Here is an 18,848-nt window from a genome sequence, read left to right as displayed (position 1 = left end):
CGCCTCGGCCTCCCAAAGTGCTGGGATTACAGGCGTGAGCCACTGTGCCTGGCTATACTTGTCTTTAACAGTGGTAGGAAAACATATGGGATGATAAGAGTTTTTAAGGGTAAATGAAAGCACCTAAGAAATTATCTAAAAGTACTTCAATACTTTATGGATGAGAAAACAAACGACCAGAGAAGTTACGTGACTGGCCTAAGATTGTGTAAATAAAGTCTACCTCTACTAATCCCTGGTTCAATGATATTTCTCTGGTTTGGAAAGGTCTCCTTTTATTAATCAGTACAAACAAATATGATCTGGAAAAAGGAAAATGAAAATTTTTAAGTCTACAGCTACTTACAGATATAATATGTGAATACTAAAATAAGAGCAGTTTTGTCATGAAATGTTATGAAAGACTAAAATAAAAGGTATTAACTATAAGAGGTGGGATATTTCATCAAGAGAAAAATTATTATCACAACTTATGTCACCTGGATCAACTTACATATTGTACCACAATTGAAAAAAACCTAAAAGTGAACTCAATCATGTACATATAATCCTCACAAACTCTATGGATTTTAAAAGGTACCTGAAATGCTGCAAATACACATAAATTAAAGAAGTCACATATTTCAGCCTCAAATAGCAAAATGAAAATGATACTTTGGTATGAATGCTAGCTATTAACATTAAATAACATTTCTATTCAAGCTTTTAAAATACATTATTGGCCAGGCACGGTGGCTCACAGCTGTACTCCCAGCAGTTTGGGAGGCCAAGGCAGGCAGATTGCTTGAGCTCAGGAATTCGAGGTCAGCCTGAACAACATGGCGAAATGATATTTCTACAAAAAAAAATACAAAAATTAGCTGGGTGTGGTGGTGCACACCTGTAGTTCCAGCTACTCTGGAAGCTGAGGTCGGAGGATCGCTTGAGCCCAGGTCTAGGCTGTAGCAAGCCGTGACTGCACCACTGCACTGCAGCCTGGGTGACACAGCAAGACCCTGTTTCAAAAATAAAATAAAATATTAGGCAGAATTTATCTTCAAGAAAGGAACATGTTTATTAAAATATCACTTTTTATGATTCTTGACATTATGTAAGCTTAAGAAACATGCATTTTAAAGAATTTTATTCAAATAAAAGGCCCAAATTGAGAGTCAAAAATTTCAATTAACTAGAGTTTCTTCAGTAAAGATGCTAAAATATATAATCTTCATTCTCATGGATTAAAATAACTGTCTAATATTAAGTATTTTAATGATAATACAAAAACCATATAAGCATACTCAGCCAAGGATAATGATTCCCTGCTATTACTGTCTTCTTCTTCAAAACACTCAACAGCACCCAAACATTCTTCGATATTCGTTTGAAGAACATCTTCAATTTTATCTTTTTCTGTATCAAAATGTATCTCTTGCCAATCAGAACTACAAAACTAACAAATCAAAAGATTGTATTAAATAATGGATCATGAAATTATTTATATTAGTAAAGACATTCATTAGTAGCTATCTTTAAATTTATATTACCTGATAAAATCCATATATTGCCTGCACTGCAAAGAACCACTTCTTGGAACCAGGTATACCTCCCACTGAACAGGCTTGAAAATAAAACCACATTATTATTAAAAAGGCATACCATAAATAAGCAGATGACACAGCATATATACCGTACTTACAGACCATAACTTTTGAAACATATTACATAATTATCCAACATACATATGTGGATCTTTTAAAAATCCCTACTAAAAATTCAAATACAACAATCTACCTAAAGAGCAAAATTCTTTACTCACAATAAATACTTGCCTTTCATTTGTCACAATTCAGAATTTCGTATTATTATTTTTTATTATTTTAATCATCATTTCACACAGATTACAATCAACCATAAAGATGTTGAAAATACAGCTACTCAATTACTACTGAGTAAAGCAAAACCATGTAAGTCATTTTAGTGAAAGCAATTCCCTCTCCAAAGACTATGCAGGTTGGTTCAGCCTGACTAGAGACAGAGGCGTTAAAGAGCAAACCCAGTCTAAAGATAAGGAAGATGCTCTTCTTGGAGAATGGAGTATTATATGAGGATATAAAATTAAGGGTCACCCCAGGGTATGTGTCAAGGAGTCATAAAGAATTTAGAGCTATGTATAGAAATTAGACTCAAAACAGGAAGAAGAAAGGTAACTGAGGCTTAACTAATGGAAGGAAGCTAGGTAAGATGCTAAATTCTTATTACCACTTTCTTCCAACAATCTCAGCAGAAGACTCCTTCTGCCTTAACAAAATAGAAGCTATTAGGTAATAATCCCTGTAACATCCTCTCAGGAAAGATACAACTCAACTTGTATTGCCATTAATCTTTCCTCTTTCCTCCCCTTTAACGTGTAAGAAGCACTGTCCTTCTAATTCAATGTTATCCCCCACACCTCCTCTGAGACCACTGATTCTATTATCTAGTCCACTGATCATCTTTCCTGCATTTCAGTCTGCTCCCTTCTGTCTGTTCTTTGTCATTGCCATTTAAATACACACAAGTGTTTCTCAAAGTATTTCTTTTTTAAAAAAAGGGGTCCCTTTAAATTCATCTTCACTTCACTTTCTTAGCTCTTCCTCAAAGATAAACTTCTGAAGGTACTGTCCACACCTGACTGTCTCCATTTCCTCATCAACTTTTCCACTTCCTTCCAAATGCATTTCAATCTGTTTTTTGTCTCCAATATGCCACTGAAAGAACACTCACCAAAGTCACCAATAACTGACTTGTTACTAAATCTAGCGGTTTTTAGTTCTGTTGTTATTTGACCTCTCAGCATAAGAGAAGAATCAAAGATGACACATTTTACTACTTTCTCTTTAAAACACTTGGCTTCTGTGGCACCCATCCTTCTGGCTGCTCCTTATTCTTTTTAAAAACTGGTGTTCAGTTCTTCTAAATACTGGGATTCAGTTTGAGGCTTTCTGTTCTCCCTACTATCCGTAAGCAATCCCATCCTTTCTCATGCCTTCACCTGACATCTGTACATTGGTTCTATAATTTGTATTAATTGGTGCAAAAATAATTGGGTTTTTTTGCCATTATTTTTGCACCAACCTAATATCTCCAGCCCTCTCCTACATCTTGAGTTCCCGACACAAATATCCAACTTTTATAAAACATTTTTACTTTATTTTTACATTTTATTTTAGTAAACATGTAAAACATTTTTACATTTTTACTTCTTACTTTGCATCTTACAGGCAACTATTAACAGGTTCCAAACTGAACACGTCATATTCCCTCCAAATCTGGTTCTTTCTCACTAAATGCCACCATCATGCCATTACCCACACCAGAAACCTAATGTCATCCTTGATTCTTTTCTCATCCTTTCCTTCTTCTACATCATACCAATTCAACGCTAAGGTAGGTGAATTCTACCCCCATAATTTCCTTCAGATCTATCCACTTTCCTCCACCCTGGCTGCCTCTCCCATTCCTCATTTGGTCTTCTACAGAATCCCCCAGTACAGAAATAGCTATACTTTTCTCTAATCCATCTACTATACTGCAGGGAGAATACCTCAAAAGCACAGATCTGATCATGTCTCCTCCTTAATTAAAGCTTTTAATGGCTGCTGATTACCATTAGGAAAAAATCCAAACACCCTGACACTATTTACAAAATCCTCTAAATAGCCATGCCTACCTCTCCACCCTTATCCCAATTATAATCATATTGTACTTTCCGTCCCTCAAACTTGCCATATTACTGAAATCAATAATCCTAGTATGGCAGGAAATTCAGCGCAGGCAGTTTCCATTTGCATGGTTCTGATATGCACAAATTCCAGTTACTGTAGCTTAAACAACACCAGTTCCCCAACAACCTGGTTCAAATTTCAGTTACCATGGTATATTCACTAACTATAACTGCATAGTTTAAGACTTCATTGCAAGCTTCTCAGTCTACAAAACCACTGTATACATAAAAGATGTGTGTCATGATCAGTAACCAATCATGTTACTACTTTTAAAGTACGTCATTGATTGGTCACTGTGCAAGTGCCATTCAGTTCACACACAGGTAGCAAAGGATGTAATTGTGTTGCCTTCTGGTTTCCCAGTGTAAACCCATGTGATATTTTATAAAAATGGATAAATGGATGAGGGAATTTTTTAAAAAGAGAGAGATAAAGAAACACCAAAGAAACAAAAAGTGCTAACACTGAAAGCAATCTTCAAAGCTAATGTAAATAGAGTTCTAAAAATAGCTGCTGTGACAAACACCTTTTGATCAAAAAGGTGAAGATGTCCCAGAGAAAATGAGGCTAGCAAAAACCTTAATATTAAAGGAACTCAGAGATATTTCACAACATTGAAAGTCCAGGTCGGGCACAGTGGCTCACATCTGTAATCCCGGCACTTTGGGAGGCCAAAACAGGTGGATTACTTGAGCCCAGGTGTTCAAGACCAGCCTGGGCAACATAATGAAACCCTGTCTCTACAAAAAGTTAAAAAATTAGCCAGGTGTGGTGGCTCATGCCTATAGTCCCTGCTACTCAGGAGGCTAAGGTAGGAGGATAGTGACACTTGAGCCGGGGAGGTTGAGGCTGCAGTGAAGCATGATTGAGCCACTGGACTCCAGCCTGAGCAACAAAGTGGGACCCTGTCTCAAAAAAAGAAAAAAAAAATCGAAGAATAAAACATTGGAAGTTGATACAACTGGAATATGATAATTCGCCAATAAAAGATGTTCATTCTGTATCATAAGTTACGTGATGATGTGAAGGTGGCAAGCACTGCTCAAACTACTCTTGGTAAGGTTTTTACAAAGAAATAAAACACTTTAATTCTCAATGTACCTAAGGTTTTAAAATTACAGGGTACAAAATAAATTTTATTTTTACTATTTTTTTATTTCCATAAAATTTTATAACAGTAAGAGAATTTTTAATGTTTTGACAAAAGATATTAAAGGTCATGGGACAATTCTAATTTTTCTCATTGATTATATTAGGATTGCTTTGCACAATCAATTATAAAGAACAACACTATCATACAAAACAAGGACCGTGTGTATAAGAAACCCTAAACACGCAAGGGGGAAGTAAAATTTATCATGAGAACCCCTGGAATACTCCCAAGAGCTCTTTTACATATACATTTGAGGTACAAATCAAAGAAAATCTTTCCTGCAATAATAGTGGTATTGACTAAAATTATACCAACTTGAAAATTAATGAGTATTACTAGGCCTTGGAAAACAAGCTAGAGTAGCATACACATATTAGAAATCATTCCCCAATGGTGTTATTTGACACCGAGAGACAAGAGGTTCTCTAATGAAAGAAGAGAAAGGTGCAGATTGTACAGTCACGGGAACTACAAAATTATCAAAAGGAGCAGACCCTTCCTTGCATGGAAAGAAACTTCCTTCAGTTTTTAGGTATTGGTCTGTTTTGGCATCTCCATTTTCAGAACGTTTAAAGGACATTCTCCAGTAAAGGACAAGAAGCAGGAATAAAAGAAAAGATAACTATCAAAGTCAGTAAATGCATTTGTATAATGCCAGTAGAAGCTAAAGGAGGAAAGATTTTTACAAAGTACGGTTGGTCAAAAAAGCGAAATACTTCAAAAAGTCAAAGCAGATAAGAACTGAGAAAAGCTCATCGTGTTTAGTAATTATTAAGTACTTTTAAGAGAATCAGAACAGAAATAGGTAATTAAGAACAGAAATAAATAAATAAATAAATGGTAAGGAAATCCGTGTGGGAGCTTTACATATTTTTACTCATGATAAAATCATCCTCATAAAGCCACACTCCCCTTAGTTATACAGAACTAAGATAGGCAAGAAAATTTCATAAAAGGAGCAAAATTCAAGCTGAGAACCTAGAATAATTTTCATAACTTTACTATATTCAAGCATCTAGAAGAAAGGGGTAATTTATTTTTCAGTTTTGTACTCCCTTAGTTATCTCTGTAACTCAGTGCCTTGTACACAGTCAAGAAGTATTTCCTTGTACTCCTTAGGGTCCAAATTAATTAAGTTAATTTCCAGTACAAATGCTGTGCCAGAGAAAAGAGGAGTTTATTATACTTACCAGGGAAAGTACTATCTTCTGGATTAATTGAAGCACTAATGCTTCTTTTCAAGAGGTGATAAACATTTGCTGCTGTGAAGTCTGAAAAAGAAAAGATAGACTAACTCAAAGGGCTCTAGATTTACATAATCTAACTTAGTCCAATTTCACCATCAGAGACTCTCAAGACCAGTAGGTTGTACATAAAAGTACTAAACGCTGCTCAAGATCTGTTCAAGTTTTGATACAGAAAATCTAAAGCAATCAGAGAAAATAGAAAAGGCTCCCGATCTGTACATGCCAGTCAGTTAGCACGAATGCAAAATTCCCCTCAAAAGAATAATTTTAAAGAGAAGGGAAATTCTGTGACAATACCTTATACACAACCACATACATTTACTCCTCAAAATGCCTGTTTGATCGAAACAAATGAACACATAAAATGCAATATTGAATCTAGACGGGTGCACCAAAAAGCAGTGCAATCGCAAACAATTAAAATCATTTAAAATTCATCATTTGTTTTTAAAACTTAGGTTATATGTGGGATGTCTCCTCCCATTAGATGTAAATTGTAGGACAGCAAGATCTTTGTCCATCTTGCTCCTTTCCGTATTATTTGCATGTGAAACACAGGAGCAGAAATAATAAATGCATATATTTCCAAAAAGCAGGAAATTCCATTACTAAGGCATAGAAAATTTATTAAGTTAAACATTTACTATGCCAAGAACTTCTAAGGGCTGGAATCTTGCATCCACAAATTTGTCCCTGTTTTTCCATGAAGATGCTATTTTTGCAGCCCTCATTAACTCTATCCCAGATAGAGTCCCAGCTTCGTGGGACAACTACATATTGATCCCTCTTCAGCAGAACTTGATCACAAAACTCAAACTTCTTCCCCTCTCCACAAGCCGTTCCCGCTCTTTCTCATCCCAGCGCTTACCCGGCTGATTCTCAGTACCCTCACCCGACGACACCTCTGGCCCATGTTCTGCCTCCCTACTGGCCGCCGACGGGAATTTTCCTTCCCCCCAGATCACCAGCAGCAGGTACCGATCCATCTCCTCAGAGATCACCCCCCAACTTTAGGTCTCGGCTTCCACATCCAAACAGACGCGCGCTATGACGCATTTCCGGTTCCCTTCGTTTAGGTCGGCTGGAAATTATGTCCTCCGTCGGTTTTCCGCAGTTTTTCCACCAAGCGAGATATTTTTGGGAGTTATTCCCTAAATAACTGCATTATATGCTCCTTTCATGACGAAATTGCTGCCGTGGAGAAGACTGGAGGAAACTCGAGGAAGAGGGAGAAGCCGACAAGTGCTCGACGGGCTAGGAACTGTCCTGCTTGGGTGTTAGCGTTTCCCGCCGGGCCAGTAAGGCTGAGTGACCCGGCGTGGCTACTAGGAGAAGGACGTACGGTCCTGCTAGTAGAGGAATATGTCGAGTTTCTCTAGGGCGCCCCAGGTGAGCTCGGACTCTTATGGCTTGATGGGGTTCATTATACTGGCAGAAGGAGAGCGTTGGTTCCGGCAGATTAAGTAGTGAAGCTGGGGCGGCAGGGAAGCCGAGACCCTCGGCCAAGAGGTGACTTGGGAAAGCACAAGAGGGTCGTCAGTCTGGCAAGCACTTAATGTCGTTCGTCTGTTACTCGTCCCCTCTTCTTTTCAATCTGCCCTTTTCATGTCTTTCTTGGGGGGGCGGGGGGAAGAGGATTAGAGCAGATCGGAGAGGTAATAAGGTGGATCACATAGGGCATTGTAGGCCCTTGCAATAATTTGTTTTTTGACTGAGTAAAATGGGGACCTTTTGGAGGGTTTTGATCCACGGAGTAACAGGATCTGACCTGGTGTCAAAAGGAGCACTCTGGCTGCTGGGTCGAGAATAGACTGTTCAGAAATAGGGGTTAGTAGAGGACAGAAGCAAAGAATATGTTTGGAGGGTGTTACAGTAATCCAGGCGAGACGTGATGGTGCAGAGGCCACGCTAGAAATACTATGGAGTGTGTTGAAAGTGGTCAGGTTTTGTTTGAAGGTGGAGCCAGTAGGACTTCCTGAATATTGAGTATAGGCCAACAGCAAAAGAAGAAACAAGGATTACCCCAAGGTTTTTTGGTTTGTCCAACTGGAGGGTGTGTCATCAACTGAGATAGGGAAGGCTGAGATTGAACCAGGTTTCAGGTGGAAGAATAGGAGTTAGTTTGGGTTATATCGGTCTAAGATGACTCTCAACTCAGTGCCGCTCCAAGTATGGTTCCTTCCTTGGGCTGTTTGTTGCCTGTCTGTGATGAGATAAATACAGGAAGTAAAATAAAAATTTTAAAACCTTTTTCAGCAATCTGACATCGCCCAGCATTTGTATTTTTTTCATTAAAAATTTTTTTTTTCTAAGTATCAAACTATTAGTCTACAATGGATGGGGACAAAAACTGGCCTTTTTCTTATATGTAGACTAGTTTGAGGTTGTGATAAGTAAATTTAAAATAAGACCAGCTAGCCTCGTTCTATTTTTCCAGCATTGTTTAGCCTCTTGTGTATATGCATAGAGAAAGCATCTGGTGGAGATCTTTCTGGCCTAGAATTTTCTAAGAATTTGAATACATTGATGACGACTGTAAAAACAATGCTCTATTCCTGAGGCAACCTAAAGATACCTATTTCAGGCAACTTTTTAAAGTTGAAATTTATTCCACATCACCCATCTGTACTTTCCCAACTACATTGTTCTATTTAACTCTCCCCAGGAATTGAACTCCTGAATCGTCTTCAGTTTCCAGTTGGCCACTCAGCTTTCAATATAATGTACCTAATAATCTCTAAATGTTTTTGAAGACCTTCATAAACAGCTTCTACTTTCTTACAAGCTTCTCATTGCCCCTCCAGATTCTATTATGTGTTATACAAAAAAAAAAAAAAAAGTCATACCGTAAAGGGAAATATATCTTTGGGATATTTATAACAAAACGTAAGTCATATTGCTAACAGGAAACCAGGAAGGAATAATTACTGTGTTTGTCTTTGCAGAATGATTAGAAAAAACAACCCTTTTCCAGAAATAGAAATGAAAACAAAAATTCTTTAGCAATAGAGTTATTTTTCAAAGAAATTGTTGACATTAATTGTAGAAACGTGATGATATATGATAATAAATTTAATTACTGTATTTCCATTTTAATGATAATTATCTTTATTTTTTCCTCTTCTTTTTTTTTTTTTTCCCCCCCAAGCAATGGGCCACTTTTGCTAGAATATGGTATCTCTTAGATGGGAAAATGCAGCCACCTGGCAAACTTGCTGCTATGGCATCTATAAGACTTCAGGGATTACATAAACCTGTGTACCATGCACTGAGTAAGTATTATTTTAGACCTGTCATTAACCACTGTAGTTTTCATGCCAGAATAGAATCTTGATGAAGTTTAACAGGGCTGAGTTTAAGGGCCCTTTTTATTTTTCCTGAGGATCCTGTATTCCATTCTTGCTGAAACCATACTAGCGCCCAAAACTGAATTTGGCTTATTCACTGGAAAACCGTATGGATCAGTTTACCCGGAACAAGCCTATTTTATGCCACTGCCCAGCGAAATTATTAGTAGCCCTTCTTTTCACACTCAGAAATAACCTGATTTGCCCCATGACTTAAACTTTCACTTTTATATATGTCTTTTCACGTGATGACATCCATATAAAGAGTTTTTAAGGGAAATAATTTTGCCCTCTCTTCTAAAAAATCTTTTCCCCTAGAAAAATATATGGTGCTAGCTAGGTATGGGAAGCTTATTTTCACTAATAAGACTAATAGACTTGCTTTTCTGTATCCTTTTTCCAAAATAAAATTAAAAAGTTGTTTTCGTTCTAGAAGATTTCTGCTTACAGATAGTTTTTGATAGACTTCATTTACCCCAGCACTTCATGGCCAGATCCAGATGTCAGTTTTTAGTCCTCATACTGGTTGACTTGTCAACAGCATTTGCTGCAATTGATCACATTTTTATTTAGCTTTTATTGTGCAATATATTAAACATACAAATATGTATATATAAAAATATGTGATATTTTAAAGAAAATTAACCATAACAATTATAATGGTGAAATGAATATACTCAGCATTGGTTTGTTTCCAATTTTTTTGGCATTATGTTATATTACATTAATGTTGCTATCAATATTCTTGTGCCATTTTCTTAGCACACATGGAAGAATTTTTCCAAGGTATGCCCAAAAGACAGGAATTACTGGGTTTTAAGGTGCATAGCAACTATTGAGTCTTTATCATGCCAGTAGCATGCAAGAGTTTCCATTACTCCTCATCTTCAATAACACTTGATATGTTCGTTCTTTTTAGTTTTGACTATTCTGGTAGAAATAAAATGCTTGCTTTGTGATTTCAATTTGCATTTTCTCGATGACAAATATGGCTGGCTGAGTATCTTACCACTTATTGGCCTTTACAGCTTCCTGTCCTGTGAAATGTCTGTGCATGTCTTTTGTCAATTCTTCACTGAGTTGTTTGTCCTTTGCTTTTTTCTTACTTTTATTACAAAAGGTTTCAAACTATCAGAAAAGGTCAAAGAATAGTACAATGAATTTCTTTATACTCTCCACCTAAATACAGTTAACATTTTATCATATATTTTTTATTCAACCATTTGAAAATAAGCTGCAGATGCCATTATAATTCCCCCAAAGTACTTCAGCATGCATCTCCTAAAAATAAAGATACTCTCTATGTAACCAGAATGCCATTGACACACGTAAGAAAAGAAACAGTACTTTATTTAGATGGTCTCATGTTCAGTGCATTTTTAAATTTCTTTGGTTTTCCCAAGTATGTTTCTTACAGCTATTATTTTTTTGAACCAGGATGCAACCTAGGTTTATGTATTGTCTTTAGTTGTTATGTTCCTTTAATCTCTTAATCTAGAATAATCCTTCTTTTATTTTCTTCTCATTAACCTTTTGAGGAGTCCAGGCTAATTTTCATCTGGAGAACTTTCTTCTTGAAACACATTCTTCACTTGTTTCCCTGGATTCACTTGTTTCCCTGTTTCTTCTCCCTTTCTTAGTACCCTTGGCTATCCTCAGCCTTCTAAACTCTCAAATGCTCTTCTCACCAAAAATTGGAAGTGCGTCAGGGCCCAGTCCTTGAACCTCTTCTCATGCCTTAGATGATTGCATTTTGTCTCATGTATCTAAAAATCATCTATATGCTAATGCCTCCCAAATTTAAATCTCCAGTTTTGACTGCTTCCCTGTATTCTAGACTCACATATACACATTTCTATTAAGCAAATTCATCTGTTGTCTAGTAGACATCTCCAATGAATAAGTCCATTTGGAGATGTCTTGCTTCTTATCTACTTCACCCAAACCAACCTGTTCCTTCCCAGTTTTCCCTGTCTCAATTAATAGCATCACTGTTCTTTTTGTTGCTCTGGTTTGAAGGCTTTGCCTTATCTGTGACTCCTCTTTGTTCAACCAAAAAAATAAAAAAAGTACATATATATATACACTCACACACACACACACACATATTTAAAAATATATTAGAAAAAAGTATATCTGAACTCTGGCACGTCTCATCATCTCTCCCTCTACTCTGATTTTAAGCTGCTGTACTCCATCCTGTTTTATTCCAAAAACTGCCTCACTGTGATCTGTTTTCTTCTGCCATTGCCTCCACGTAATTCTTTCTCCGTAGATCAACTACAGTTATCTTTTCCAAATGAAATTTCTGTGTGTCCTACAAGAACCTAAATAATATGGTCCCTGTTACCTTTCTGACTTTCTTTCCTTTATTTATTTATTTATTATTATTTTATTTATTTTTTTACTATTAATTGTTTCTGTCAATCCACTCAGACCTATACTGTTCCATTAACTTGCCTGCCGAGCACATTTTTGCCTTATGCCTTTTTTTTTTTTTTGAGAGAGAGAGAGTCTCACTTTGTTGCCCAGGCTAGAGTGCAGTGGCCCAATCTTGGCTCACTGCAACCTCCGCCTCCTGGGTTCAAGCATTTCTCCTGCTTTAGCCTCCCGAGAAGCCGGGATTACAGGCATATGCCACCACACCTGACTAAGTTTGTATTTTTAGTAGAGACAGGGTTTCACCATGTTGCCAGGCTGGTCTGGAACTCCTGACCGCAGGTGATCCACCCACCTTGGCCTCCCAAAGTGCTTACAGGCGTGAGCCACCATGCCCAGCCCTTAGGCCCTTTTCACACACTGTTCCCTCTGCCTAGATATTCTTTACCAGATATCTGCATAGCTTATTTCTTCATGTCTTTCAGATTTCTGCTCAGGCATTTATATTCTGAGAGAGGCCTCGCCTGATTCCTCTGCTCACCCTTTCACTCTATATACCTTTACCTTGCTTTAAAAAAAATAGTGTTCATGTATCACCTGAAATGTTATGTAAGTATCTGTTTATTATCTACCTTCTTTCACTAGACTAAGTTCCAAGAGCACATAAAATTTTGCCGGTTTTGTACACAGCTGTATCCCCAGTACCTGTAGTAGTGCTTCACACATAGTTGGAATGTAAGAAATGTTTGTTAAGTGAATACTGGCATTTATGAATTCCAGTTGTGAAAATGAAGAAAATACTTTTAGTCAGGGCTCTGGCATTGAAGCTAAGTCAGATTTTTGGATCTATGGAGCTAAGAGGAAGAGTATTCCAAATGATTTGATTTGAGCAAGAGCAAGGATTTTCTGTAATTTCTTATACTTGCTGCTCTAACCTTTTTTCTCTACCTAATGAAAATTTCAATAAGATATCAAAATAAACCCATACTCTGAAATCTGTGAGTATAGAATATGAATCTGAGGTTTTGTCTTTTTAATCTTTGTTTTTCAAGCACCCAGTACAATGTCTGGCCCATAATAGATGCTTGCCAGAAATCATTTGTAGAATGACACTTTCAAACAGATGTTTTGTGAGTAGCCTGTTCTTGTTCCCTGTAGTTATCCTGTGAACACTGGATTAGTGAATACCGAACCATTGCTTCTGGGGGGAAATACGGAGTTAGGTTCCTCTGAACCTCTGGTCACAGCATTTTCATCAACCAATCAATACATAACCTTGTTTTATGTGTGTTTCTGTTTAAAGATATCTTAACACTGAACTTGTGACCAACAGCAGTATAATAACAAGCTTATCTAACACACATATTATCTCTATAAGGCAACAACACAGCCTTCTTGTATTTAGGAACACTAAATAGCACTCAGTATACCAAGCTTGGGGGATATTTTAAACAGTGAAGTCACTAAGAAAAAGTCCACAGATGCCAGAAACATAGCACTACATAGAAAATGAAAAGGATGCTTGTTTGTTGTATGAAAGGTGAAAGAAGGCAGAGCATCACCTTGTTCAGCCTCAGCTGGGAACATGTGCGTCAAGTAACACAAATTTATTTCCACTCTGAGCATGTCCATGAATGACTGCAAAAGCACTATGAGTATTGATTTTGGGGTAACAAATAAATTTTAACAAGTAGGCAAATTTGTAAATATGGAATCTATGAATAAAGAGATCAACTGTATTTTGAAAGTAAATAGTGATCAGGAGACTTACACTTTCACTTATAAACCTGTTTACTTTAAAAATATTTTTTGGCAGACCAGAAAAATAGTCATAGAATTACCGATTTATAGAGTTGTTTAATTCCTTAGGACTTTAGATATTTTGTTTAACCACCTCATCTCTTCATTGACAGTCGAGTAAACTAAAATCAGGATTTCATTGCTATTCAGCTATATTATAGTAGAACTGGGACTAGAACTTAGGCACCTGTTTCTTATGTAGGAAATTCCCCATTCCACTTCAGTCTGGTGATTCTTAACCACTTGTACTGAGTTTTCCTGCTGCTTTTTTCCTTAGCAATGGTATCAGCAGATAATAAATGAGATCTCTTAGGTTGTCTTTGCAGAAATGCAAATAATACAAAATTTGAGGAAAAGTGCAATTAGTAGCAGTCACCTAATTTCCATCTCCAAATATAGCACTAACTGTCCACTCAAAGTTCTGCTTCCTTATAACCAGGTCATCATTGCAAAAGCATACCTTAGATATGGATGAATAGGCATTCGGCTAGGATACCAGAAGAGCTGTTGTGGCTGCCTATTAGGTTTCTGTGAAAGTAGAAACTTACTTTTTAAAGACTGAATTGCATTTTTGTTTCACTATGTGTTTTGAGACAGGGTCTTACTCTGCCATCCAGGCTGCAGTGCAATGGAGCCATCACAGCTCAGTGCAGCCTCCACCTTCTGAGCCTCCCAGGTAGCTGGGACTATAGGCGTGTACCATCATACCCAGCTAAGTTTCTTGTAGTTTTCGTAGAGACATGGTTTCACAATGTTGCACAAGCCGGTCTTACTCCTGAGCTCAAGGGATCCACTCACCTCAGCCTCACAAAGTGCTGGAATTACAGATGTGAGCCACCTTGCCTGGGCATGTTTCAGTGTATTTAATATGTAACATATTAGCAAAACTTCTCGTGTCCAGAAGATGTCACTAAAATCAAAACTTAAATTGCAAACAATTTTCAATTTATAAATATGTTGTGTTTTAAGAGTTCATTCTAACATTTAGTGGTTTAATAAGCATTTATTGAGCAAATATTATGGGCTTATAATCACTATAAACATATTTTTTTTGAAAATTGACCTACAGTTTCCCAGAAAAATAATATTACAAATGATGATCATTGTTCTACAAATGGTTGTAAAAATTAACAAATAATGTACTGAACATAATGTATACAATATTTGAACTACCTTATTTGTCAAATGGATGTCTGTGAAGTGTTGTGGAAACCGACTTTTCATTATAAGGTTATTTTTTATGGAAAATGTGGGTTAAGGTAGAAAGGATGTGGAACTGGTAAAGGAATCCCTCCTTCTAATTAGAGCTGCCCTCTTGAATTTGGGACTTGAGAACTTTTTGAACGTGTTTCTGATAAATCAAAAAATAGGTTATATATGGTGATTAGTGGAGTATGACTTATTCTTTATGAGGATTCTACTCCTTTCACTGCCAACTGAATTAATGAATTAATATTCATTGAGGAGGACTATAGGAGTATTTAAAGGAAGCAGAGGAAAACCTTTCTTTAGCTTTGCTAAAATTAGATTATGTTAAAATATTTCTGTTCTGCATTGAATGAAACAAAAGTTGCACTCAGTTTATAAAAATTAATGCTATGAATGCTAACATACCAAACAATTCAACAGAGATCAGATTTATGATCTCTAGTATTCTGCCTTGTAAGTTTATGATGCTGTTCTTAAAGTTGCTTAGCTAACATTTTTCTCTTACTATTCAGTTAAATGTAAAAATGTATTTCAAATGTTAATATCACAGCATTTTAATTTTGCAATCTAAATTGTACATTTATACTTCACCTCACTCCTAGAATATCATCCTACAAAGCACTGAAGGAGATTTTTGCTTCAGGCTATATCTAGAATACGTATCTCCTTTGGAAGTGACTATATTGATATTGTCAATAAATTAAACAATATGCCTTGGTGCATGTTACAGTATCTATACATTCAGCAGATTTTATGGTAACCTATCTGATCATTCATCACCTTGGCTGTGCACAAGTTCAGGGATGCCAAAAATAACACTGAAGTAGCCATTTGGACATTTGTCCTTCCAAACTTAGAAACAAACATAAAGGCCAAAGCCAAACTTTGTTGTTTATCACTAATTCAGAATAGCTATTTTTCAAACATTTCTCAAACTAAATCTTCAAGGAAACCCAATAAATAAAAGCAGTACTGTCCTAGTTGAAGGAAAAAGAACCTGGATCCTTGTGCCTTGAGTCACCTTTTAGAAGCCTAAGACTGAATCACCTGCACTTTAAAAACCACTATGCTAAATCAAACAGCTTATAAGGAAGGATTCAACCCTATAAAGGGGAAGAAAACAAGCTACAGACTGGAAGAAAATATTTGCAAACCACATCATCAACAAAAGACATATCTAAACTATAAAGAACTTTCAAAACTCAACAGTAAAAAAACAAACAATCTAATTAGGCTATGGGCAGAATACATGAACAGATGGCAGATAAGTACATGAAAAGATGTTCAATATAAGTAGCCATTAGGGAAATGCAAATTAAAACCGCAGTGAGATAATACTACACAACTATCAAAATAACTAAAATAAAAAATAGTGACAACAGATGCTGATGAGGATGCATAGAAACTGGATTACTCAGCATTGCTGGTAGAAATGTAACATGGTACAGCAACTCTGGAAAAGAATATGGCAGTTTCTTCTAAAACTAAACATGAGCTTACTGTATAGCACAGCAGTTTCATTTCTCTTGGACATTATCCCAGAGAAATGAAAATTAAGTTCATGAAAAACCTGTACCAATTAATCGCTTCACCCTATTACTCTTTATCTTCCCATGTTCATCAGCTCCTGGCATATTGCATATTCATTTATTTGTTTGTTTATTGTCTGGCTTTTCAACTAGAGCATAAGATTGATTAACAAGAATTTCTTTGTAAGGAACTTAAACAAATTTACAAGCAAAAAACAACCCTATAAAAAAGTGGGCAAAGGACATACATAAAGAGACACTTCAAAAGAAGACTTACATACAGTCAACAAGCAAATGAAAAGATGCCCATATCGCTAATGATTAGAGAAGTGTAAGTCAAAACCACAATGAGATACCATCTCACACCAGTCAGAATGGCTATCATTAAAAGGTCAAAAAATAATAGACATTGGCAAGGCTGAGGAGAAAAGGGCATGCTTTTACACTGCTGGTGGGAGTGCAAATTAGTTCAGTCATTCTGGAAAGCAATTTGGTGATTTCTGAAAGAACTTAAAGCATGCAGATATGTTCATTTTAGCACTGTTCATAATAGCAAAGATACGTCATCAACCTAAGTGCCCATCAGTGGTAGACTGGATAAAGAAAATGTGGTACATATACACCATAGAATACTGTAGAGCCATTAAAAAATGAGATCATGTCCTTTGCAGCAACATGGGTGGAGCTGGAGGCCATAATCCTAAGTAAACTAACACAGGAACAGAAAACCAAATACTGCATGTTCTCACTTATAAGTGGGAGTTAAACATTGGGTACTCCTGGGCATGAAGGGAACAACAGACAACTACTTGAGGGTGGAGGGTGGGAGGAGGGTGAGGATCAAAAAACTACCTATTGTGTACTATGCTTATTGCCTAGGTGACAAAATAATCTGTATATTCAACCCCCATGACATGCAATTTACCTATATAACACACCTGTACATTTACCCCTGAACCTAAAATAAAAGTTTAAAAAAATAGAGGTTTTTCAGTTACATTCATTGCTGTATTCCCAACATCAAGAATGGTACATGGCATTAGTAAGTATGTAATACATAGCAAGTGGATTTGTTCATCAATGGAAAAGGATTATAAAGCAAATTTTAAAAGAGCTGGAGACTCTCAGCAAGCTGAATTGGTGTCTCTATCTGAATCTGCCCTTGCATGGAATCTGAGTATCTCAAACATAGTTAAAAATGAACACTAGGGATTTTTGTAAACACTTATTGTGTCTGATAACTCTATGTGAGGGATCTATAATTAAGAGTCTGCAGCAAGGATCTAGGACCAAAAAAATTATACAAATGCTAGAACAAAGTAGAGTTTGCCATTTCAGTGGCAAAAACTGCAAATAGTTTTGCACCAACCTAAATAGCATGGCTTACCTGGCCCAGACAGTAGTGTTGGAAAAACTGGTAAATAAGGCTACAAAAAGTTATCCTATACTCTAGGTCTCCTTGAATCCCTAATCAAGGAGCTGGTACATGGGGAAGTACAAAGATGGCAAATAACTGTAACCTGTGAGCAGTTTGCTGAGAAGGACTTCTGAGATCTTAGAATTTAGCAGAAAAGAATACGTGATCAATTAGTGAATGATATCATTGTCTCCTTATGGCATTTTAACTACCACTTTTTGCCATCTGGTTGTGGTAGAAATGGTAAGATCTGCCTTTGAAGTTTTACTGGAGTTGTATTTGAAACTTAACTTTACCACTTATTAGCCATATAATTTTAGCTGAGTTGAACCTCTGACTCTGTTTTCTCCGTAAACATTATTAAATAGTAAAAGTGGTAGCAGGCAGAGGGAGTACGTTAGCTTTACCTAATAAGATAGTTGTGAGACTTTAAGTGTTAAAAGTGAGTATAAAATGCCTAGCTCAGTGCTTTGCATGTAGAAGATGTTGAATAATTATTACTTCCTTTCCTCCCAGGCAATTTTGAGGAAAAATTATGACTTCATTCTGGCTTAAGGGAGAAGGTGGGCCAAAACATTGAGGCGGTGTAGGACTAAGAGCTGCCCCTGATGGTGTAACCTATCTGAGACCTTAGGTTTCCTGACATGAAGCTGTTGAGTTTTCACTTTGTCTGAATTAGTTTGAATTTATTTGGCCATTTAATTGAGCACCTAGTATTATACTGAGGAGTCAGATAAAGTTAGAAGTTTAAGGTTAGAATTTTTGTAAATAAACTCACAATTCCTATTTCTAAAAATTGCTTACTATTTTTCAACTTAATTTCTCTTCAGAACATCTCTTGATCAAGCACTAGAGCTATGATTTATTTACATTTGGTACATATATATTAAATGTGCAGTTTTAAATTAAAAATTATAAAATGAAACTATATGTATTTAACTTAATAGAAATTTAGACAGAAACAACTGTGCTATATCCAGGGTTACAGTCTTACAGTAATACTGACTTTAGTGTTAATGAA

At 36.4% G+C, this 18,848-nt stretch overlaps 2 protein-coding genes across 5 annotated transcripts in view, besides 1 other annotated feature; one reads left to right on the top strand and one right to left on the bottom strand.

Annotated features, from left to right (window-relative positions):
- The window catches only part of MTBP (MDM2 binding protein), a 78,218-nt gene extending 71,034 nt beyond the window's left edge, over positions 1-7,184 (bottom strand). For all 4 annotated transcript variants that reach the window (XR_928318.3, NM_022045.5, XM_011516962.3 and 1 more), the window contains exons 1-4: positions 7,015-7,184; positions 6,090-6,170; positions 1,527-1,600; positions 1,281-1,432 (exon numbers count right to left, since the gene is read on the bottom strand). Coding sequence is in view for 3 of the 4 variants with exons in the window: in NM_022045.5 (NP_071328.2) it covers positions 1,281-1,432; positions 1,527-1,600; positions 6,090-6,170; positions 7,015-7,132 (425 nt within the window). In the remaining variant the exon portion in view is untranslated. The remainder of the gene's footprint in view (positions 1-1,280; positions 1,433-1,526; positions 1,601-6,089; positions 6,171-7,014) is intronic.
- MRPL13 (mitochondrial ribosomal protein L13) overlaps positions 7,453-18,848 on the top strand; it is a 49,714-nt gene continuing 38,318 nt past the window's right edge. Inside the window, exons 1-2 of the mRNA NM_014078.6 lie at positions 7,453-7,535; positions 9,295-9,418. Of these exons, the coding sequence (NP_054797.2) occupies positions 7,509-7,535; positions 9,295-9,418 (151 nt within the window). The 5' untranslated portion in view covers positions 7,453-7,508. The remainder of the gene's footprint in view (positions 7,536-9,294; positions 9,419-18,848) is intronic.
- Positions 7,546-7,725: an enhancer, noted in NCBI's record as "active region_27849". NCBI's record gives its function as "activates an Ori minimal core promoter by ATAC-STARR-seq in GM12878 lymphoblastoid cells {active_cell/tissue: GM12878}" and the evidence as "EXISTENCE:reporter gene assay evidence [ECO:0000049][PMID:35858748]".

This window comes from Homo sapiens, chromosome 8 (assembly GCF_000001405.40).
Source record: "Homo sapiens chromosome 8, GRCh38.p14 Primary Assembly".
NCBI classification, from domain to species: domain Eukaryota; kingdom Metazoa; phylum Chordata; class Mammalia; order Primates; family Hominidae; genus Homo; species Homo sapiens.
This window is presented reverse-complemented; position numbering and strand designations above follow the sequence as displayed.